Consider the following 18,132-nt stretch of genomic DNA (forward strand, 5'->3'; position numbering starts at 1 on the left):
TCTTTCTCCAAGAGTTATTGGTTGGGAATTTTCATTATATTCCTTCACGGAGCTCTATTTTTTAAAAAGTCACATGTCTAGGTCCTACCCTAGAGTGAACTAGTTAGTTTCTGGGGATAGATCCTGGACATCTGTACATCTTTTAAGTTCCACAGGTTATGTTGTTTATCCCTCATTAACATCCACTGTTCTACTACATTTAAAAGATAACTACAATTTCTAGTGTAGCAATTCTTCCTAAACATTATATATAAGGTATTTAACTAACACCTATTATACAATGCTGCATCGGTACAGATCTGCTCCTATACTATAGGAACCTAATAAAAGCTTTACACAACAGACCTATAAAGCGAAAAGATAAATAAAGCCTGTATATCTGTAAGTTCCTTTATGTTCTTCCACCTACACTGTCATATTATTGACCACATTTCCCCAAGGAGACATGTCATAAAAAATATTTTATCTTTTACATTTATATTTGTTCGTTTGACAGGATCTAACACTTAATAAAAACTTAATTTACTGAAAAAACTTTTCAAAATATCTGCTGCAAAGGACTGCTGGACGTTGTTTAATTACTTGAATAGACAGGGGCTCTGATATTTCATTTGGTGATGACTTACTTTTGAACAAAGGAAATTAGTCACGACACTTGGGAAGCTATTACACGGAACTGAGTTTTTTTAAAAAAAAGAGGAGTAGGGTGCTCTACTTCCTTTTACCAACCAAGGAAGAATTCCCTAAATCTCTACTTCTATGTGTGCAATAAAGATTATATGATGTATATGATGATACATGTCCTCTCACTCAATTTCTAGGTATAATGTCATCATCAATAAAAAATTATTTTCAAAATAATGCAAATTCCTATACTACATAATTTCAGTTAGCTGTTCAATCATCATAGTTAATTTTGTCTGAGTTTTTTTTAGGCAGAAAATAACTGAAAAACCCTTCAAATCCTAGTGAGAAACCTAGTTGTAAATGTCTATTAAATCAAACCCTCCATTTAGTAAGTCAAGTCTTAAGAGAAAGTATGAATGCCTTAGGCCTCTTCCCAACGGCCCATCTTACTCAGTACGACTGTCAAGTTGATTTTATTTCTGTAACCATTATCAAAACATCCTACCTCTGGGATTTTTCAAAGAATTTTTTAAAAATTAGTTTTGGCAGCCTGGCATAGTGGCTCATGCCTGTAATCCCAGCACCTTGGGAGGGCAAGGTGGGAGGATTGCTTGAGCTCAGGAATTGGAGACCAGCCTGGGCAACACAGTAAGACTCCGTCTCCATGAAAACAAAAAAAATAGTTTCGTAAAATGAAGAGTTCTTGAGATTGGATGTACCATGTGAATGTACTTAACACTTCTGAACTATACACTTAAAAATGAGTAAGACGGTAAATTTATCTTATGTGCTATTTTACCACAGTTGGAAGAAAACTTCATCTCTCATCAAATTAATCTTTTACTTTCCGTATCTTAGAACCTTGTCAGAAGCTTTAGGGTCATTTAAATATCATTTTTAAAAAATCCCTGGTACCAATTTTACTCTTTTTAAAAAATGCGTTTTGTACACAAATCTGCTTCCAAGAGATATAAATTCCTGTTCTAGTGTCACAGAAATTCAATTAACTACGTATGTGCTGGAGTTGATTCCCAATAAATATAGCAAAGTCCTATTACGTACATAAAACCCTCAACGCATACTCACTGAATTCAATTAATAACTGTGAACTTGGGCTTGCCATTGTTAGTTAACTGTGTATTGAAGGAAGTCACAGACATAACTCAGGGAGCTGGCTAACCTAATTGTGGGCCTTGTACAGACCTGGCTGCCTCACTTTCCTTCCTTATAAATGGGGGAGTTGAACAGGCCTCTAAAGCCCATAGGAATCTGAGATGATAACTTCTGAGACACTCATTTCAGAAGAACCTCATGTACTGTGGCCTCTGTCTCCTGCGTTGATGTTTTTTCAGTTCACCTTTGTCTGTGTTCAGCATAAGACACAAGCTCCAGAAGGGCAGGCACTTTGTCTCATTCACTGATGTATCCCAGTGCTAACAACAGGGCCTGGGAATAATCACAGCTGCCACATACACATACTCTTTAATATGTCTCCATAACAGAAAATTTCTTCTTTAAAAATAATCACATTCAAAAATGTACATCCATTTTAATGTAGAATAATATTTTGAAAAGTTAGCAGGAATCAATTTCAATACGATTATTGAAAAATTCCTTAATTATTAATAGGAACAAGTGTTCAACTAAGTCACTGGTAGAGCAATATCCAAAATCCTTCATTATTTTTTTTTCATGGCTCTATTTTGGAAGAAACACAACTCAAAAAATAATAAGCCATTATATTATGGTCTACTCCAATGTGAAATAAGTGCATGACATTTGGCAATAAATCTAGCACCTTTGGATCTTAATACTGCATCAACAGTCAGACCCAAAGCTTCTTAGAGCAAAGCAGCAAATCTTTTATTTACACAGCTGTTTGGCTCCAGGGAAATATAAGGTAAGAAAGTAAAGCACTAGTACCATTTTACTAACTATTACAAACATACTCGTCATCTGTTACACACAGATGGCTGTGGTTCACGTGTACACTCTCTGGCTACTGGACCAGCCAAAACGCAAAGCACAGACAATGAAGACAGTGACCTGTACATGTTCAAAAGGACACAAAATATATACCTATATATACCTATAATTCTCTCTCCTTTTTTCTTTTTTTTTTTTTTTTTTTGAGATGGAGTCTTGCTCTGTCACCCAGGCTAGAGTGCAGTGGCTCGATCTCGGCTCACCACAACCTCCGCCTCGCTGGCTCAAGCAATTTTCATATCAGCCTCCCGAATAGCTGGGACTACAGGCGCACCCCACCACACCTGGCTAATTTTTGTATTTTTAGTAGAGACAGGGTTTTGCCATGTTGGCCAGGCTGGTCTCAAACTCCTGACCTCAAGTGATCCACCCGCCTTGGCCTCCCAAAGTGATGGAATTACAGGCTTGAGCCACTGCGCCCAGCCTCTCCTTTTTCATATACAGCTTAAAATAATTCTGAAATCTCCACTAAGGGCAGATTATTTTATAGATGTAGAAAAACAAAGCAAGCTTTTCTGCTGGATACATATAACCTAGATGTTCTACAACATTCCTTTTATTTTCTTAAATTAAACCAACCCTTCCAAATACCACAGATTAGATTCAAAAGCAAAAATCCCCTCCCTTAACTTCAAGTAACTTTCCTAAACGTTTCAATGAATTTGACTATTGTTCCCAAAAAGCACCATAATCAGCTTGTAAGAACTATGTATACATATAAGAATGGGTAGAAATAAAACCCCAGTTCTCTTCCATATTCCCCATCTAGACACCAGAAAGAATTATGATAAATCCAACAGATGGGTGAGCAAAAAAGTAGTTGATGCTTCTCAGCCAGCAATGCTAAAAACCAACCAACTCGGCTAGACACAGGAAGTGTCCCACTTTAAACACCACAAAAATTTCTGTGGATTTCTTTAATTGTAAAGTTGATAAAATACAAAAATAGCTTGCATTATTTTAGGATAATTCAAATGCAAGAATCATGAACTTCCAGTCTGGGCCCTAGAAATTGGGTTTACATAAATGTGAAATTACATGCTTCTGTGCCTGTTCCTTATAAACTGTTAAGACTGGAATTGAAAACTGATACATATAAGACACGGTTATTTTAAATACATTTGACACCTCCAAAAAGGAAAGAGCTAAAACTGGCTGGAAGGATTTTAAAATTTCCAACCACTTTTAATTTAAATCAATTTCTTGAACGAAGGTAAGGCACAGAAATGTAGGATGAAAATAATTTACCTTATGTAAGTATAAAGCCTCCCTTTGGCAAAGAAAAGAGAGTTTATAAAGATATCTCATATAAGTGCATATAACATCAAAAAGGAAAGACCCACACAACACCCACTTCTTGCTTTCTTTTCCTATTGGCTAACTTCTTGTTTCGTTTGTTGTAATCTGATCACAGGGAGCAATGCAACACTACAATATATCTAGGCTTTAGAAATAATACAAATCAGAACATTTGAGTGCTGTTGGACAGTTTCAAGTTGCAAGAATTTTAAACAAATGCCAAGAAAAGCAATGAAAATTTAATCTGATACTTAAGTGCTGATTCTGGAAGTAACCTTGAGAAGAAGCTTTAAACTATTTCACTATAAAATTTCTAATGAAAGTTTCAACGTGGACAAAAACGTAAAATAACCCATAACACTCTACTTAATACATAAGTTCTGGTTTAAAAATTAACCTATGTACTTACGAAGTGAACGTAACACCACTTTGGTAATTATTTTGTAAAACAGAAATTGTTCCTTAAGAATGTTCAGAAACACAACGTCTAGAATTGCTGAAAATCCACACAAAGATAGAGGCTTTGTCATTTGGATGAAGGGGAAAGAACTATGGGAGGCAGACAGAAAATAAAGCTTTGTTTACCCTAATCAGGTAGAAACAAACAAAATAATTGTAATTGGGTGCAGACAAGCAAAAAAAAAAAAAAAAAAAAAACCTCAACAATCTCAACTCCTCTGCTTCTCAGGTAACAGAGGTAAAACCACCAGGACATGACAATGTCTACGCCTCTTTAAAATGGGTAAAAGGTTTACCAGCAGATACAAGGTTGAAAGCGACTCACTTAGTGGCCAAATTGAACACGCTGAGAACACTGCCTTTACCTATAATAACTGATCTATTAACTTGGGAATCTACACTATTTTCACATGCAAAGGCGAAGTCCTCGCACTGCTGGAGAGATGAGCGAACGCCCTTCACACATCGCATTTCACCTGGTGCAGAGCCCCCAGCACAGTCCCCCTTGGAAGGGAGATCCCGAGAAATCCCGGGTTTCCAAACAGCCCCTCTGGGCAGGAAAAGACGAGAAAGCCGGCAGCGAATCCCATTAGCTCCGCGCTTGCCGAGGTGCTCGGCAAAGGTACGGGGCACACAACTCGCCCACCCCGGCGAAGAAAGTTGCTCGCGAGCCCAAGCCTAGCAGCGCTCGCCACAAACTTTCCCGCGGCAGCGCGAGCGCCGTCACTTACCGGCTGCAGAAGTCATGATTCCCCGGTGCAGCTCGCTTCCCCGCTCGGCCCCTCAATCCATCTTCCCCTTTCAGTCCATTGTTCCCACAGTTCGGGTAGGAGAGAAAAGCCCCCGCAGCGCCCACATTCCGTCCCGCCGCCCCGCGGCGCAGCCTGAGCGCCACACAAAGGACGCGGCCGACTCTAGCGACCCTGCGGCGCTCCCGGGCGCGAGCCGCCGGGGTCGGGCGGGCGAGCACTAGCACCGCCCCGCAGAGCGGCAGGCTGACAGCCAGGCGCGGGCACGAGCAGTGCTCTCTTCGGCTCCGCTGGCGCGTGCCCTTCTCGGGCTCCAAAAATCAGCAGTGCTCCGGGCGCCCCCTGCTAGTCGCGGCCGTAAAAGGCAGACAAAAGCCCTAGCCTCCTCCAATCGGAGGGCTCGAGCTTCAGCTCGCTCCCGCCTCTCTCGCTTACACGCTCACTCTCTTCTCCAATAAGCGGGCTCGAAAAGGGGGCGTGAGCGGCGAGGCATATTGGGAATTGTAGTTTTCTGGACCCACGGGACGGGCAGGAGCTGGAGCTCCGTGCCGCCTGTACTCCCGCCTTCATTTCCCATCGTGCTGAGGCGGGTGGCATGGCGGAGAAGGATGACACCGGAGTTTGACGAAGAGGTGGTTTTTGAGGTAAGAGGAAAATGGCGGTGGGTGTGGATTGCCTTTGTTTGAGAAGGACGAGACGGAAATCGAGGAAGCAAGGCGTTCCCGGGGCGAGGGATCGGGTGACGCGCTCCAGCTGGCCTCGACCACCGAACCCCAGCGATTTCAGGGCCTAGAGTCCGTCGTCGCCTGACAGGTGTAGCCAGAGGCGCCCTGGCCGTGGCCGGCCTCTATCTCGGGCCCGCCCAGAATTCCCAGACGGTGCCCGGTTGCCAGGCTCTGGGCTGGAGCGGTGTCTCTTCCTTCCTGGGAATGGATGTGCGGCGGGGGGGACTGCGCCCGGCTGGGGCGGGGCCGAATCGTGCCTTTTAGATAGTCACAACTTAGCCTCCTCCTTTTCCATCCGCGATTTTTTTGGGTCAGTATCCAGAGTGCTTCAGGTCACTGTTCACCGTCAAGGCGTGGCCCTCGGAATGAAGGCAGCAGGTGCCCGTTTTCTAACACGGTTTAAAGTCTATTTGTGGGACCTACTGTGGGTAGTTAGGGCCAGGGCATCTCAGCATCTAGATTCGATTCTTTTGTCCTTTGCTGTTGCGCTAGGTGTAGCCAGTTCTTCTGACTCGGGGCTCTAGATGTGAGTGCTTTTGTGTGGGACTATTTTAAGACGTTCTCTGCCATCTTGAATGAAAAAAATCGGGCGAGTGTTTTTGATGCCATTTTTTTCCATCAGACACAGGTCAAAACTCGCACCCCTGTACGTATGTGTATTGCATGTATACGCTTTACTTTCATTTATCCAACTAGATTTTAAGAAAATTTAAAAATGAAGTGGCCCATGCCATACAGCGAGAGAGCGAGGCACAGACAGGACAGAATGCTAAATGTTGAAATATGTACAAACTGTCATTGAAGGATTAATTTCTGTTCTTGCGGCCTCCCAGAGGCTACACCCAGTACGCGATATCCGAGGTGAATCTTTAACTATGAATTGGATTAGAAAAACCGGCAGGAGAAAATGTATTACAGGGAAAGAGAACTGATTATGCCAAGCTTGGGAAGTGTGAAAGTACCTGGTGTGCATTTTTAGGGGGCGGGGTGTGGAGGGTGGCTATGTAAAGTGGCTTGATGTGGCTGCAATGAAGAAGCAGTGGAAAATGTGGCCATTTTACCGAAGTGAAGAGTCTAGATATGAGGCGTTCATTAGGGAAGACAAGGGCCTGAGATGAAATGAGAGACGTAATGGAATAATGGCTTGGACAGACACTTGTAAGTTAAAATCGAGGCAATGTTTATAGATTGAATGTGGTAGCTGAAGGAGAGAGAAATATTTTCTAGAGTAAGGGTAACTGATGGGTGTATTTTTTTTACCCATTATTTTTGATTTCTGAATATAATAGTAATATATGCTCAAGGAACATTTTATTGTAGAAAATAAGCCCCCAAGTTAAAATCATCCATTATCCCACCACCCAAAGATGGTAACTATTAACAGTACGGTATGTGTTCTTATAGACTTTATTTCTATGTAAATGTGTGTTTATGTGTGTGTAATTTTTTAGCCTCTATATTAAGACACAATGTGTGTGTGATATTTTTTAAAACAAAAGGTATACCACGTAGAATTTTGTATATATTTTTCACTTGACTTTATCGTGAATCTTTTCCCATTCATCATTCTCTGAAAACATTAATATTATAATATCCCCTCACGTGTATCATAATATAACCTTTTTTTAAAAAAATACCATTGTAATCAACAGTGATATAAGCCTATTTTTAACTACAACTCTGATTTTCCTCAGAATAATTTTTAGAAGTAGAACTAGTGGGTGAAAGAATATGAACATTTAAGACTTACGCAGAAAGGTTATACCAATTCCGGTTTCCATTAAGAATAAGAGAGTATTGGTTTCACCAAATCCTCAACAACAGCCTTAACAGTTTCCTTTAATCTTTGCTAATTTGATAGGCAAAAATAACATTCCATTGTTTTAATTTACATTTTATGCATTTATACATTTATTAGCTATTTTTATTTCTTTGAACATTTCTCTTCATATTTGTTGCTCATTTTCTTATTAGATGCTAGCTTTAAAAAAATTGACTTGCGTGAGTTCTTCATATATTACTAAGCCTTTGTCATACTTGCAGAAAAATTTCCAGTTTGCTGTTTGTTTGCTCTTTGATATACACAATTTTTATTGCAGTATAATTTACATAAGGACAGGGCACAGATCACAAGTGTGTGGATGGTTATATTTTCACATGTTGAGCACACCCATGTAACCAGCACCCAGATCAAGAAACGGGACAGATGGGGCATGGTGGCTCACACCTGTAATCTCAGCACTTTGGGAGGCTGAGGCAGATGGATCCCTTGAACCCAGGAGTTTGAGATTAGCCTGGACAACATGGTGAAACCCTATCTCTACAAAAAAGACAAAAATTATTTGGGCGTGGTGGCACATGCCTATAGTCCCAGCTACTCGGGAGGCTGAGGTGGGAGAATCACTTGAGCCTGGGTAGGTCAAGGCTGCAGTGAGCCATGATCGCACCGCTGTACTCCAGCCTGGATGACAGAGCCAGACTCTGCCCCAAAAAAATAAAAAATGAAAAAAGAAACAACATCACCAGCACACCAGAAGCTCCCTCCTGGTCCTTTCCATCACTACTCCCTACCCCAAAATGATCACTATTTAAACATAATAACCTAGATTAATTTTGTCTATTTTTATTGTTTAGACACTGTGCATTTCCATTTATATACTCTCTTATTTCTGACTTTTTTTTTTCCTCTCTGGCTTTATTTGTGAGATTCGTCCATATTGTTAACATGAGAATTTTTATTTTGGCATAGTATTCCATGTGAATATATGATCATTTTTAAATTCATTCTTCTATTAATGGTCATTGAGTAGTTCCCAGGTTTAAACTAGTGCTACTGTGAACCTTTTTGTATGTGTTTGGTTAAACATATTTCTGGTGGATATATATGTAGGAATGGAATTGCTGGGTCATAGCAAATACCTAGATATTTCTGTAGATATTGCCAAACTTTATTCCAAAGTGGTTGTACCAGTTTATTCTCCAGCCAGGAATGTATGAGAGGTCCCATTGCCCCACATCCTCATCAACCCTTGCTAATTTTAGTGTTTTTCTTTTTATGATTCTAGGGGCTATGTCCTGGTATCTCCTTGTGGTTTTAATTTGTATTTTCTTGATAAAGATGTTAAGATTTTTAATGTGTTTATTAGCCAATTGTATATCCATTTTGTGAAGCCACGTCAAATTTCTTGCATATTTTTCTATTGGGTTGTTTCTTTTTCTTGCTGATTTGAAGGAATTATTTACATACACTGGATACAAGTCCTTTGTTAGAGATGCAGTTGGCCCTCCTTAGCTGAGAGTTCCACATCTGCAGATTGGACCAACCGTGGCTCACGCCTATAATCCTAGCACTTTGGAAAGCTAAGCCAGGCAGATCACTTGAGGCTAGGAGTTTGAGACCAGCCTGGCCAACATGGCGAAACCCAGTCTCTACTAAAAAATACAAAAACTAGCTGGGCATGGTGGCATGCACCTGTAGTCCCAGCTACTCCAGAGGCTGAGGCATGAGAATCGCTTGAACCCAGGAGGCGGAGGTTGCTCTGGGTGACAGAGTAAGATTCCATCTCAAAAAAAAAAAATAAAGGAAATACTCTGGCCCAGTGAGGTGGCTCATGCCTGTAATCCCAGCACTTTGGGAGGCTAAGGTAGGAATATTGCTTGAAGCCAGGAGTTTAAGACCAGCCTGGTCAACATTAACAAAACCCTGCATATTAAAAAAAAAAAAGAAAAAAATTAACCAGGTGTGGTGATGCATGTCTGTAATGCCAGCTACTCCACAGCCTGAGGCAGAAGATTGCTTGAGCCCAGGAATTTGAGGCTGCAGTGAGCTACAATTCCAGCCTGGGTGACAGAGTGAGACCATATCTCTAAATAAATAAATAAATACTCAAAAATATTCAAAAAATAATACAAATAAAAAAACTATACAGGATAACAACTATTTACATAGTGTTCACATTGTATTAGGTATTACAAATAATCTAGAGATGATTTAAAATATGTGGGAGACTGTGTGTATGTTATATGCAAATACTATGCCATTTTATATAAGGGACTTGAGCATCCATGGACTGGGTATTTGCCCTAGTCCTGTGACCAATTCCCCATGAATAAAGAGACAACTGTATATACCTCATATATCTTACCTTGGGCTATATGTGGCCTCTGCACTCTTTTAATCGTGTCTTTCAATGAACAGAAGCTCCTTATTATAATCCAATTAAACCTTATTCTTTTGTGATTAGTGCTGTTAAAAAAATATTTGCCTACTCTAAGGTCACAAAGATATTTTCTTTAAAAGCTTTATTTGACATTTTCCCATTTAGATCTGTCATCCATCTGGTACTGATTTTTGTATGGTAACAAGTGAAGATCAACATTTTTTTTTCCCCGTATGGATGTCCAGTTGACCTGGCACCATTTACTGAACAGATCATTTTTTCCCCACTGAACTGTAGTGTTGCCTTTGTCATAAATCAGGGAATCTTTTATGTGTAGATCTCTTTCTGGACACTGTCTTCTTTGCCATTGATCATTTTGTCTATTCGTGTGTTAATACCACATTATTTTAATTACTATAATTTAAAAAATAGGTTTTAATATCTGATAGCATAAGACCCTTCAGCTGTATTTTTCTTCAGGATTGCCTTTGGCTATTCTTGGCCCATTATATTTCCATATAAATTTTAGAATCAGCCTGTCAGTTTTTGTAAAAAAATAAAAAATAAAAATAAAAAAACCCTACTGAGACTTTGATTGAAATTGCTTTGAAGCTATAAATTAATCTGGGGAAACTTAACATCTTTACAATCAATATTGAATCTTCCAATCCGTGAACATTTATTGCTTGCCTTCTAAATGAATCAAGCAACTTCTCATCTCGTTCTGTGCTCTAGGACTGATTTTACAAAATGAGAATTATCTGTTTCTTCAGAGTATAGCTAAATTGGCCTTTCCTGGGGAAAAGAGACTGAATGTTGTCTATCAGCTCAATTTCTTTTATGGTTATTGCTCAGGTACAATTTTCTATTTTGATAACTTTTTTATTCTGAAAGGCAGTGTAATATAGTTAAAGATATGGGCTCTGGAGCTGGATAACCTAAGAAATCCTAGGTCAGCTATTTATTAGTTATATTAGTTAATGTGACTTTGAGCAGGTTACTTAACTTGTCTAAGCTTCAGTTTTCTCCATATTAAATAAAAATAACAGTAACTATCTCGTAAGGTAGTTATGAGTACTAAATGATTTAATATAAGTGAATTACTTAGATGAGTACCTGACACATTGTAAACACTCAGTAAATGTTACCTTTTATTAAATTTTTCCAACAAATTGCTTTTTATCTAGGTTTTCAAAATTATTGATATATTCTTAGTAGTCTCTTTAGTTTCATTTATAGCACAAATTAGATCTGATTGTTGTTATGTTTTTCTTTTTGTTTTGCATAGATGTGCTGGAGTTTCAACTTACCAGATAGACTTTTCTTTTTTTTGAGACAGAGTTCCACTCTGTTAGCCTTGTCGCCCAGGCTGGAGTGCAATGGCAGGATCTTGGCTTGCTGCAACCTCTGCCTCCTGGGTTCAAGCAATTCTCCTGCCTCAGCCTCCCGAGTAGCTGGGATTACAGGCACCCATCACCATGCCCAGCTAATTTTTGTATTTCTAGTAGAGATGGGGTTTCACCATGTTGGCCAGGCTGGTCTTGAACTCCTGACCTCGGGTGATCCACCCACCTCGGCCTACCAAAGTGCTGGGATTACAGATGTGAGCCACCGTGCCTGGCCTCAGGTAGACTTTTCAAAAAACTAGTTGGTTTTGTTTGGTCAGTTCTATTGAATTTGTTTGTGGTTTTAAATTTTTTTAAAATTTCTACTTTTATCTATTTCCATTCATCTATTTGTGTTTATTTTGCTATTTTTGTTCTGTTTTTTTTAGCTTCTTGAGTTAAAAACCTAAATGCCCAAAATAACTTGTAAGGCTATAAATTTCCCTGAGTATTGCTTCAGTTGTATCACGAAAGTTTTGAAATGTAGTTTGTCTCATGGTTGTATAAGTTCCATTTTTATTTCTTATTTAATACCCAAGTATATAGTTGAGGGATTGATGTTATCATTGGTGATTATTTTTCTCCCTGTGTCCCTCAGACCCATAATTCCACCCTGATCATTATGGACTGCATCACTGCATTCCCTTGTCCTCTGGGTTCCATTTAGGTTCGGCCAGTGGGAAGGACCTGCAGATCAGAGGATGGAGGAAAGAGCGCCAGAGAGGTTTGGGTGTTTCTTGTCTGAATTCTTTCCCTCTACGGCTACTATTTGTTAGTGATTGCATTCCTGTACCTAAAGCCACAACTTTTTTTTTTTTTTTGACAGGGTCTTGCACTGTTGCCTAGGCTGGAATGCAGTGTTAACCATCATAACTCACTGCAGCCTCCAACTCCTGGCTCAGGTGATCCTACCACTTCAGCCTCTCAAGTAGCTGGGACTACAGGCAGGTGCCACCATGTCCAGCTAACCTGTAACTCTTATCACGGGATTCTTCTTGGGAAAGGCTAGGAGCAGCCATCTTATTTCCTGTGTTTGGGCTTTACCACCTATGAGACCTGTAACCCCCTCTACCCCTATTACCACTTTCATTCAACTTAGATCTCAGGCCACTGACTGAGAAAGGCCTTCTTTTGAAGAGCTGAAAGCTTGTAAGGCATGTTTTCTTGCCATCTACCACTTGATTACTCAGCCAGTGGAACATATTTCAGGTTCTGCTGAGTCAGCCCTACTTCTAGATACTAAGTACTGTGTCACCCATACATCCTAATGCACAGTGACTGGTTTTTGGCACCAGGGACTTGTTTCGTGGAAGACAGTTTTTCCAGATGGAGGATGGTTTCAGGATGAAACTGTTCCACCTGAGATCATCAGGCATTAGTTAGATTCTCATAAGGAGCTCACAACCTAGATCTCTCACATGCACATTTCACAATAGGGTTCCTGCTCCTATGAGAATCTAATGCTGCCACTGATCTGACAGGAGGCGGAGCTCTGATAGTAACGCTTGCTCACCCACTGGCCCACCATCCTGCTGGCCTCGGGCTGTATTCCTAACAGGCCATGGACCGGTACCAGTGCTGTGCAGGCCTGGGGGTTGAGGACCCCTGTTAATGCAGTAAACAGGAACCTGTCTATGTGCCATAAGCAGAAAGGAATTTAACATAGGGAATTAATGGTTAGATTATCATCGGAAGGCCTACAGGATCAAGCTCTATCAAAGTTGCTATATGCTCATGAAGACAAGAGCACGTGATCATGATCATAGTTACAATCCAGGAATTAGAAGCCATCACCACTTTGGGAGTCCGAGGCGGGCGGATCACCAGGTCAGGAGATTGAGACCTTCCTGGCTAATGCTGTGAAACCCCATCTCTAGTAAAAATACAAAAAGAAATTAGCCGGGCTTGGTGGCGGGCGCCTGTAGTCCCAGCTACTCGGGAGGCTGAGGCAGGAGAATGGCGTAAACCCAGGAGGCTGAGCTTGCAGTGAGCCAAGATCGCGCCACTGCACTCCAGCGTGGGCGATAGAGCAAGACTCTGTCTCAAACAAAACAAAACAAAACAAAACAAAACAAAAGCCATCACCACATCTGCCTCTCAATAACCTAACAAAGTGATACCTTGGTATTGGAACTTGGAGTCTCTCCACTGTCTCTACCACACCTGCAGCTGTGTTATCAAGAAGCTGGAGAATCCATATTGGAATACTGCTATAGAAACATTTTGCCTCCACAGCTTTGTTTCATAGCAAAAAAAAAAAAAAAAAAAAAAAAAAAAAAAAGAGAGAGAAGGATGGAGGGAAGAGAAGGAATGAGAGAACAGACAAATGAAAGAACAAGGCCAGCAGTGGGGGGATCACTTGAGGCCAGCAGTTTGAGACCAGCTTGGGCAATATAGAGAGACCTTGTTTCTACAAAAAATTATTTTAAAGAATTAGCTGGGCATGGTGGCATGCATCTCTAGCCCTAGCTACTCAGGAGGCTGACGCAGGAGGATTGCTTAAACCCAGGAGTTCAAGGCTGTGATGAGCTTTGATGAGGCCACTGCACTCTGCCTTGGTGACAGATTGAGACTTTGCCTTTATTTAAAAAAAAAAAAAAAAAAGAACAGTTGAAACAAAAGCCAAAGAAGCAAAAAGTGGACTTCTGCTCTTCTTCCACCTTCCAAATCTCTTACACCATACACCTACTTGGGGAAACCCTGATTTATATCTAGAATCCTAGCTGCAAGATAATTTGGGAAATTTCAGATGTAGCTTTCCTGCCTCTGTAACACAAGAGATACATTGGAAGAAGGATTATAGAATAGAGATTGAACAAGCCAAGCCAATTTACCATATCTATCTTAGGGCTGAACCTCTCTTCCCCTAAGAAAATTTAACTGTGATTTTTTTTTTTTTGGTATATTTGTTGTAATACTGTTATTTTAATGATCTTCAGATAGAAATCAGAGTCATTCATGTATTGAGACTTACCTAGAGAATTACATGCTGCATGAAAGTTAAAAACTTAAATCATGCAGAGTTTTGGATAATATTCCAACAACATCCCTTCCCTTAAAACAAACTCTTTGAGGTATCTTGTTTTAATTTCTGTTTCTTGGATTATTTGTAAATTTTACTGTACTATATTTTGGGTCATTTGTATTTCTCCTTCCAGTGATCACTTTGAGTCCTCTTAGTCTGAGAGGACTAGATGTGCACTGAAAGATGATAATATAAGAGAAGGACTAAGGGAGGAAAGAAAGAGTGAAGTGCCCAGGCCCAATTCCCATTTCTTGCCCTAGAATCTGATTACCCATTTTATCAGAGCTAGATTCCGTATGTACTTTCAATGTTAATTCCATTATATTGGAGCCTGACTCCTCCTCCTATAAGATCATTTGTTTTAATTAGAATCTTCTACCATCATTCTACTCTAAGAGGCTGAATTGAGAAGGACAGTATAACCTCAGTCTTGGACCTCTCAGGCTAAACAGCAACAGAACAAAGTTTAGAAAATGATGGATACTATGTCTAATGTGAATATTAACAAAATAAGCATGAAATACCAAGATTGTTGTTTTACTCTGTTATCGTCATCATTAATTACAGTGTTTTGAGAGTAAGAATTCTCCAATTACTTTAGAAAGGTATTAAAGTTCTGATGTTGCTTTCTTAACTGTTTTTTAGACAGGGTCTCACTCTGTCACCAGGCTGGCCTCCAATAGAACAATCACTGTTCACTGCAGCCTCCACTTCCCAGGCTCAGGTGATTATCTCATCTCAGCCTCCCAAGTAGCTGGGACTACAGGCATGTGCCATCATGCCCTACTAATTTTTTCTTTTTTTTTTTTTTTTTTGAGATGGAATTTTGTTTTGCTCTTGTCGCCCAGGCTGGAGTGCAATGGCGTGATCTCGGGTCACTGCAACCTCCACCTCCCGGGTTCAAGCGATTCTCCTGCCTCAGCCTCCCAAGTAGCTGGGATTACAGGTGCATGCCACCACACCCTGCTAATTTTTGTATTTTTAGTAGAGATGGGGTTTCGCCATGTTGGCCAGGCTTGTCTCGAACTCCTGACCTCAGGTGATCCATCCGCCTCGGCTTCCCAAAGTGCTGGGATTATAGGCATGAGCCACCATGCCCGGCCAATTTTTTGTATTTTTTGCAGAGAGTGGGTTTTGACATGTTGCCCAGGTTCAAGTGATTGTTCTGCCTCGGCCTCCCAAAGTGCTGGGATTACAGACATGAACGACTGCACCGGGCCTTAAATTTTAATTGCAGAAACTTCAGGTCATCTGTCTTAAACCTTGCTATTCCTAGAGGGAAGAGTGCCTGGAAATAAGACTTTTTAAATCTGAAAGACTAATTTTTCTGCCTCTTTGCATCATTTGAAGTTCATTTAAACCATTCCTTTGTAACTTTCTTCTAGTAGGGACAATGTTGTATTAAAGGGATCTTTTACTCAAATCTCTTGCCTTGGTAACCTTATCCTCTGTAGGTGAACTCGTTACTGTTTTTGGTGTTTGTTTAAATTCCTTCTTCCTCTTTTCTTTTCTTCCTGGCTGAGAAAGATAATTTTTGCCCATTTTGTCATGATTTCTTTTTCTCCTACTTCTTTCATACTTCTGTGTAAGTTATTAAATGTTAACCCTTTGTTGGCAGTATGTTCAGCTTTCGCCCTTTTCTCCCATAGCATTTAATCAGTTAAATGAAAGGAAATGACTCTCACAAAACCTTTCACATTTAAAAGGAAGTTTTAAAAAATTTCTCTCTTCCTCGAGAGATTCCCTTTTCTTTGTATTTTTAAAAGTTATTATGCATCTCTGAGGAACATGAAGGTACTTTTTCCCTAAGTAATAATTGTAGATTCTTTCTTACTTGTATTATTGATTTGACCAATGGAAGAATATTGTTTTTGTCTGTGAACATATACATGGACAGTATTTGCTATTTTGATAATGGAGCTTCCTGTCTAGAATAATTATACATATAAAATTTAAGGTATTATTATATCATTTAATTTTTTTTAATATATCCTGAGTTTCAGTTTGTCAAACATAAAGCCCTAAATTGTATTATTTAAAATAATCTTGTTCCAAGTAGTAGCTGAGATTAGAAGTATAGCAAAATTCATGCTATCACTATCTATAATAGGAATAATATTTATTAATAGTGCTATTAAATCACAACTCTATTGACATCAAAGATTGACCATTAAGACCAAGTCTAGCCAGATATGGTAGTTCACACCTGTAATCCCAACAATTTAGGAGGCTGCGGTTAGAAGATCACATGAACTCAGGAGTTCAAAACCAGCCTGGGCAACATAGTGAGACCCTGTCTCTACAGAAAATGTAAAAATTGGCCAGTGTGGTGGCATGTACCTGCAGTGCAACCTGCTTCGGGGCTGAGGTGGGAGGATTGCTTGAGCCCAGGAGGTTGAGGCTGCAGTGAGCTGTGATTTCAGCACTGCACTCCAGCCTGGGCATTGAAATAAGACCCTTTCTCAAAACAAAAACAAAAACAAAACACCAACTCTGGTTTATAACCAAGATATGCAAGAAGAAATTCCATGTTTAATATGAATTATAAAAATTATTCTTGGGGAACAAGTCTGCTTTTTTTTCTGCTTATGTTGTGTCATTTCTTCTGTTTTGGCTTCTTCACAGATCCTTGGGGCTCCAGTTTAGATTAAAATTTTGTTTCTGTTTTATGTCTAAACATTCAAGAAAAGTAGGTAGTTCTCTCTTTTATGTATTTTTTATTGCATTTATTAAAATGTAAGTCCATTTGTCTCAAGCTATGACACACACAGTGCCTACATTATTTTTTTTAGTTACCTTGGTATTTTATGTGCAGCTATATTGAAGGTTTTCATTTTTTTAAAAGCATTGTGGAAAGAGGACCAGACGAGGAGTCAAGAGACTGACTGACATAAATTAGCAATGAAATTCTGAATAAATCACTTAATTTCTCTAGAGCTTGTTTCCCAGGATCATCCTTTATACCATATCATCCTTTGGTATGAAATTTTTCTTAAATCCATTCTAGGGGATCGGAAACTATCTAGTGGGTTGAGTAAATGAGAGTAGGCCCTTAGAGGCTTCCATTAATTAGGAAATACAGGAAAAGAATCTATTCATTTCCAGTCTCTTTTTATATTAGAAATCCTGACTCAATTTTAGTTTTCCCTGGTTCTGTACCAGGTGTTCTCTGAGTTCCTAGAAGCAAATCATGCCTTAAGGATTTAGGAGAAAAGGCCCAAAGCTCAGTGTACTCGACAGGGGCACAGTGTTAGAAAGTGTACTAACTTCGACCAGATGTGGTGGCTCATGCCTGTAATCCCAGCACTTTCAGAGGGTGAGGCAGGCGGATCGCCTGGGGTCAGGAGTTCGAGATCAGCCTGGCCAACATGGTGAAACCCCATCTCTACTAAAAATGCAAAAATTAGCAGGCTGTTACAAATGCAAAAATTACAGCTGGTGCCTGTAATCCCAGCTACTCGGGAGGCTGACGTAGGAGAATTGCTTGAACCCAGGAGATGGAGGTTGCAGCGAGCTGAGATCACACCACTGCACTCCAGCCTGGGCAACAGAGAGAGATTCCGTCTCAAAAAAAAAAAAAAAAAAACGAAGTGTACTAACTTCATTGCCTCTGGATTTTTTGAGTATTGCTTATAGTATACATTGAGACTTCCTGTTGTTATTATTCCCACTATAGGAAATCAGTGTGCCCATTACTTTTTATTTGAAACAATATAT

The 18,132-nt window shown here is 39.9% G+C and overlaps 2 protein-coding genes across 67 annotated transcripts in view, besides 6 other annotated features; one reads left to right on the top strand and one right to left on the bottom strand.

Annotated features, from left to right (window-relative positions):
- The window catches only part of FGD6 (FYVE, RhoGEF and PH domain containing 6), a 140,719-nt gene extending 135,374 nt beyond the window's left edge, over nucleotides 1–5,345 (bottom strand). Inside the window, exon 1 of the mRNA NM_018351.4 lies at nucleotides 5,103–5,345. Coding sequence (NP_060821.3) covers nucleotides 5,103–5,118 — 16 coding nt within the window. The 5' untranslated portion in view covers nucleotides 5,119–5,345. The remainder of the gene's footprint in view (nucleotides 1–5,102) is intronic.
- Nucleotides 1,848–1,927: an enhancer, noted in NCBI's record as "active region_6807". NCBI's record gives its function as "activates an Ori minimal core promoter by ATAC-STARR-seq in GM12878 lymphoblastoid cells {active_cell/tissue: GM12878}" and the evidence as "EXISTENCE:reporter gene assay evidence [ECO:0000049][PMID:35858748]".
- Nucleotides 5,009–5,603: an enhancer, noted in NCBI's record as "NANOG-H3K27ac-H3K4me1 hESC enhancer chr12:95610907-95611501 (GRCh37/hg19 assembly coordinates)". NCBI's record gives its function as "activates a minimal SCP1, AML or CMV promoter by ChIP-STARR-seq in naive H9 embryonic stem cells {active_cell/tissue: H9 hESC(naive)}" and the evidence as "EXISTENCE:reporter gene assay evidence [ECO:0000049][PMID:30033119]".
- Nucleotides 5,204–5,433: a silencer, noted in NCBI's record as "silent region_4738". NCBI's record gives its function as "represses an Ori minimal core promoter by ATAC-STARR-seq in GM12878 lymphoblastoid cells {active_cell/tissue: GM12878}" and the evidence as "EXISTENCE:reporter gene assay evidence [ECO:0000049][PMID:35858748]".
- Nucleotides 5,604–6,199: an enhancer, noted in NCBI's record as "NANOG-H3K27ac-H3K4me1 hESC enhancer chr12:95611502-95612097 (GRCh37/hg19 assembly coordinates)". NCBI's record gives its function as "activates a minimal SCP1, AML or CMV promoter by ChIP-STARR-seq in naive H9 embryonic stem cells {active_cell/tissue: H9 hESC(naive)}" and the evidence as "EXISTENCE:reporter gene assay evidence [ECO:0000049][PMID:30033119]".
- Nucleotides 5,664–5,903: an enhancer, noted in NCBI's record as "active region_6808". NCBI's record gives its function as "activates an Ori minimal core promoter by ATAC-STARR-seq in GM12878 lymphoblastoid cells {active_cell/tissue: GM12878}" and the evidence as "EXISTENCE:reporter gene assay evidence [ECO:0000049][PMID:35858748]".
- VEZT (vezatin, adherens junctions transmembrane protein) overlaps nucleotides 5,685–18,132 on the top strand; it is an 84,993-nt gene continuing 72,545 nt past the window's right edge. For 37 of the 66 annotated variants that reach the window (NR_147918.2, NR_147920.2, NR_038241.2 and 34 more), the window contains exon 1: nucleotides 5,685–5,764. Coding sequence is in view for 22 of the 66 variants with exons in the window: in NM_001352108.2 (NP_001339037.1) it covers nucleotides 5,729–5,764 (36 nt within the window). In the remaining 44 variants the exon portion in view is untranslated. Of the gene's footprint in view, nucleotides 6,224–12,057; nucleotides 12,115–18,132 lie in introns of all 66 variants that reach the window. The other 29 variants (XM_047429110.1, NM_001352118.2, NM_001352094.2 and 26 more) reach the window with 3 other exon arrangements.
- Nucleotides 6,504–6,553: an enhancer, noted in NCBI's record as "active region_6809". NCBI's record gives its function as "activates an Ori minimal core promoter by ATAC-STARR-seq in GM12878 lymphoblastoid cells {active_cell/tissue: GM12878}" and the evidence as "EXISTENCE:reporter gene assay evidence [ECO:0000049][PMID:35858748]".

This window comes from Homo sapiens, chromosome 12, assembly GCF_000001405.40.
Source record: "Homo sapiens chromosome 12, GRCh38.p14 Primary Assembly".
Classification (NCBI taxonomy): Eukaryota; Metazoa; Chordata; class Mammalia; order Primates; family Hominidae; genus Homo; species Homo sapiens.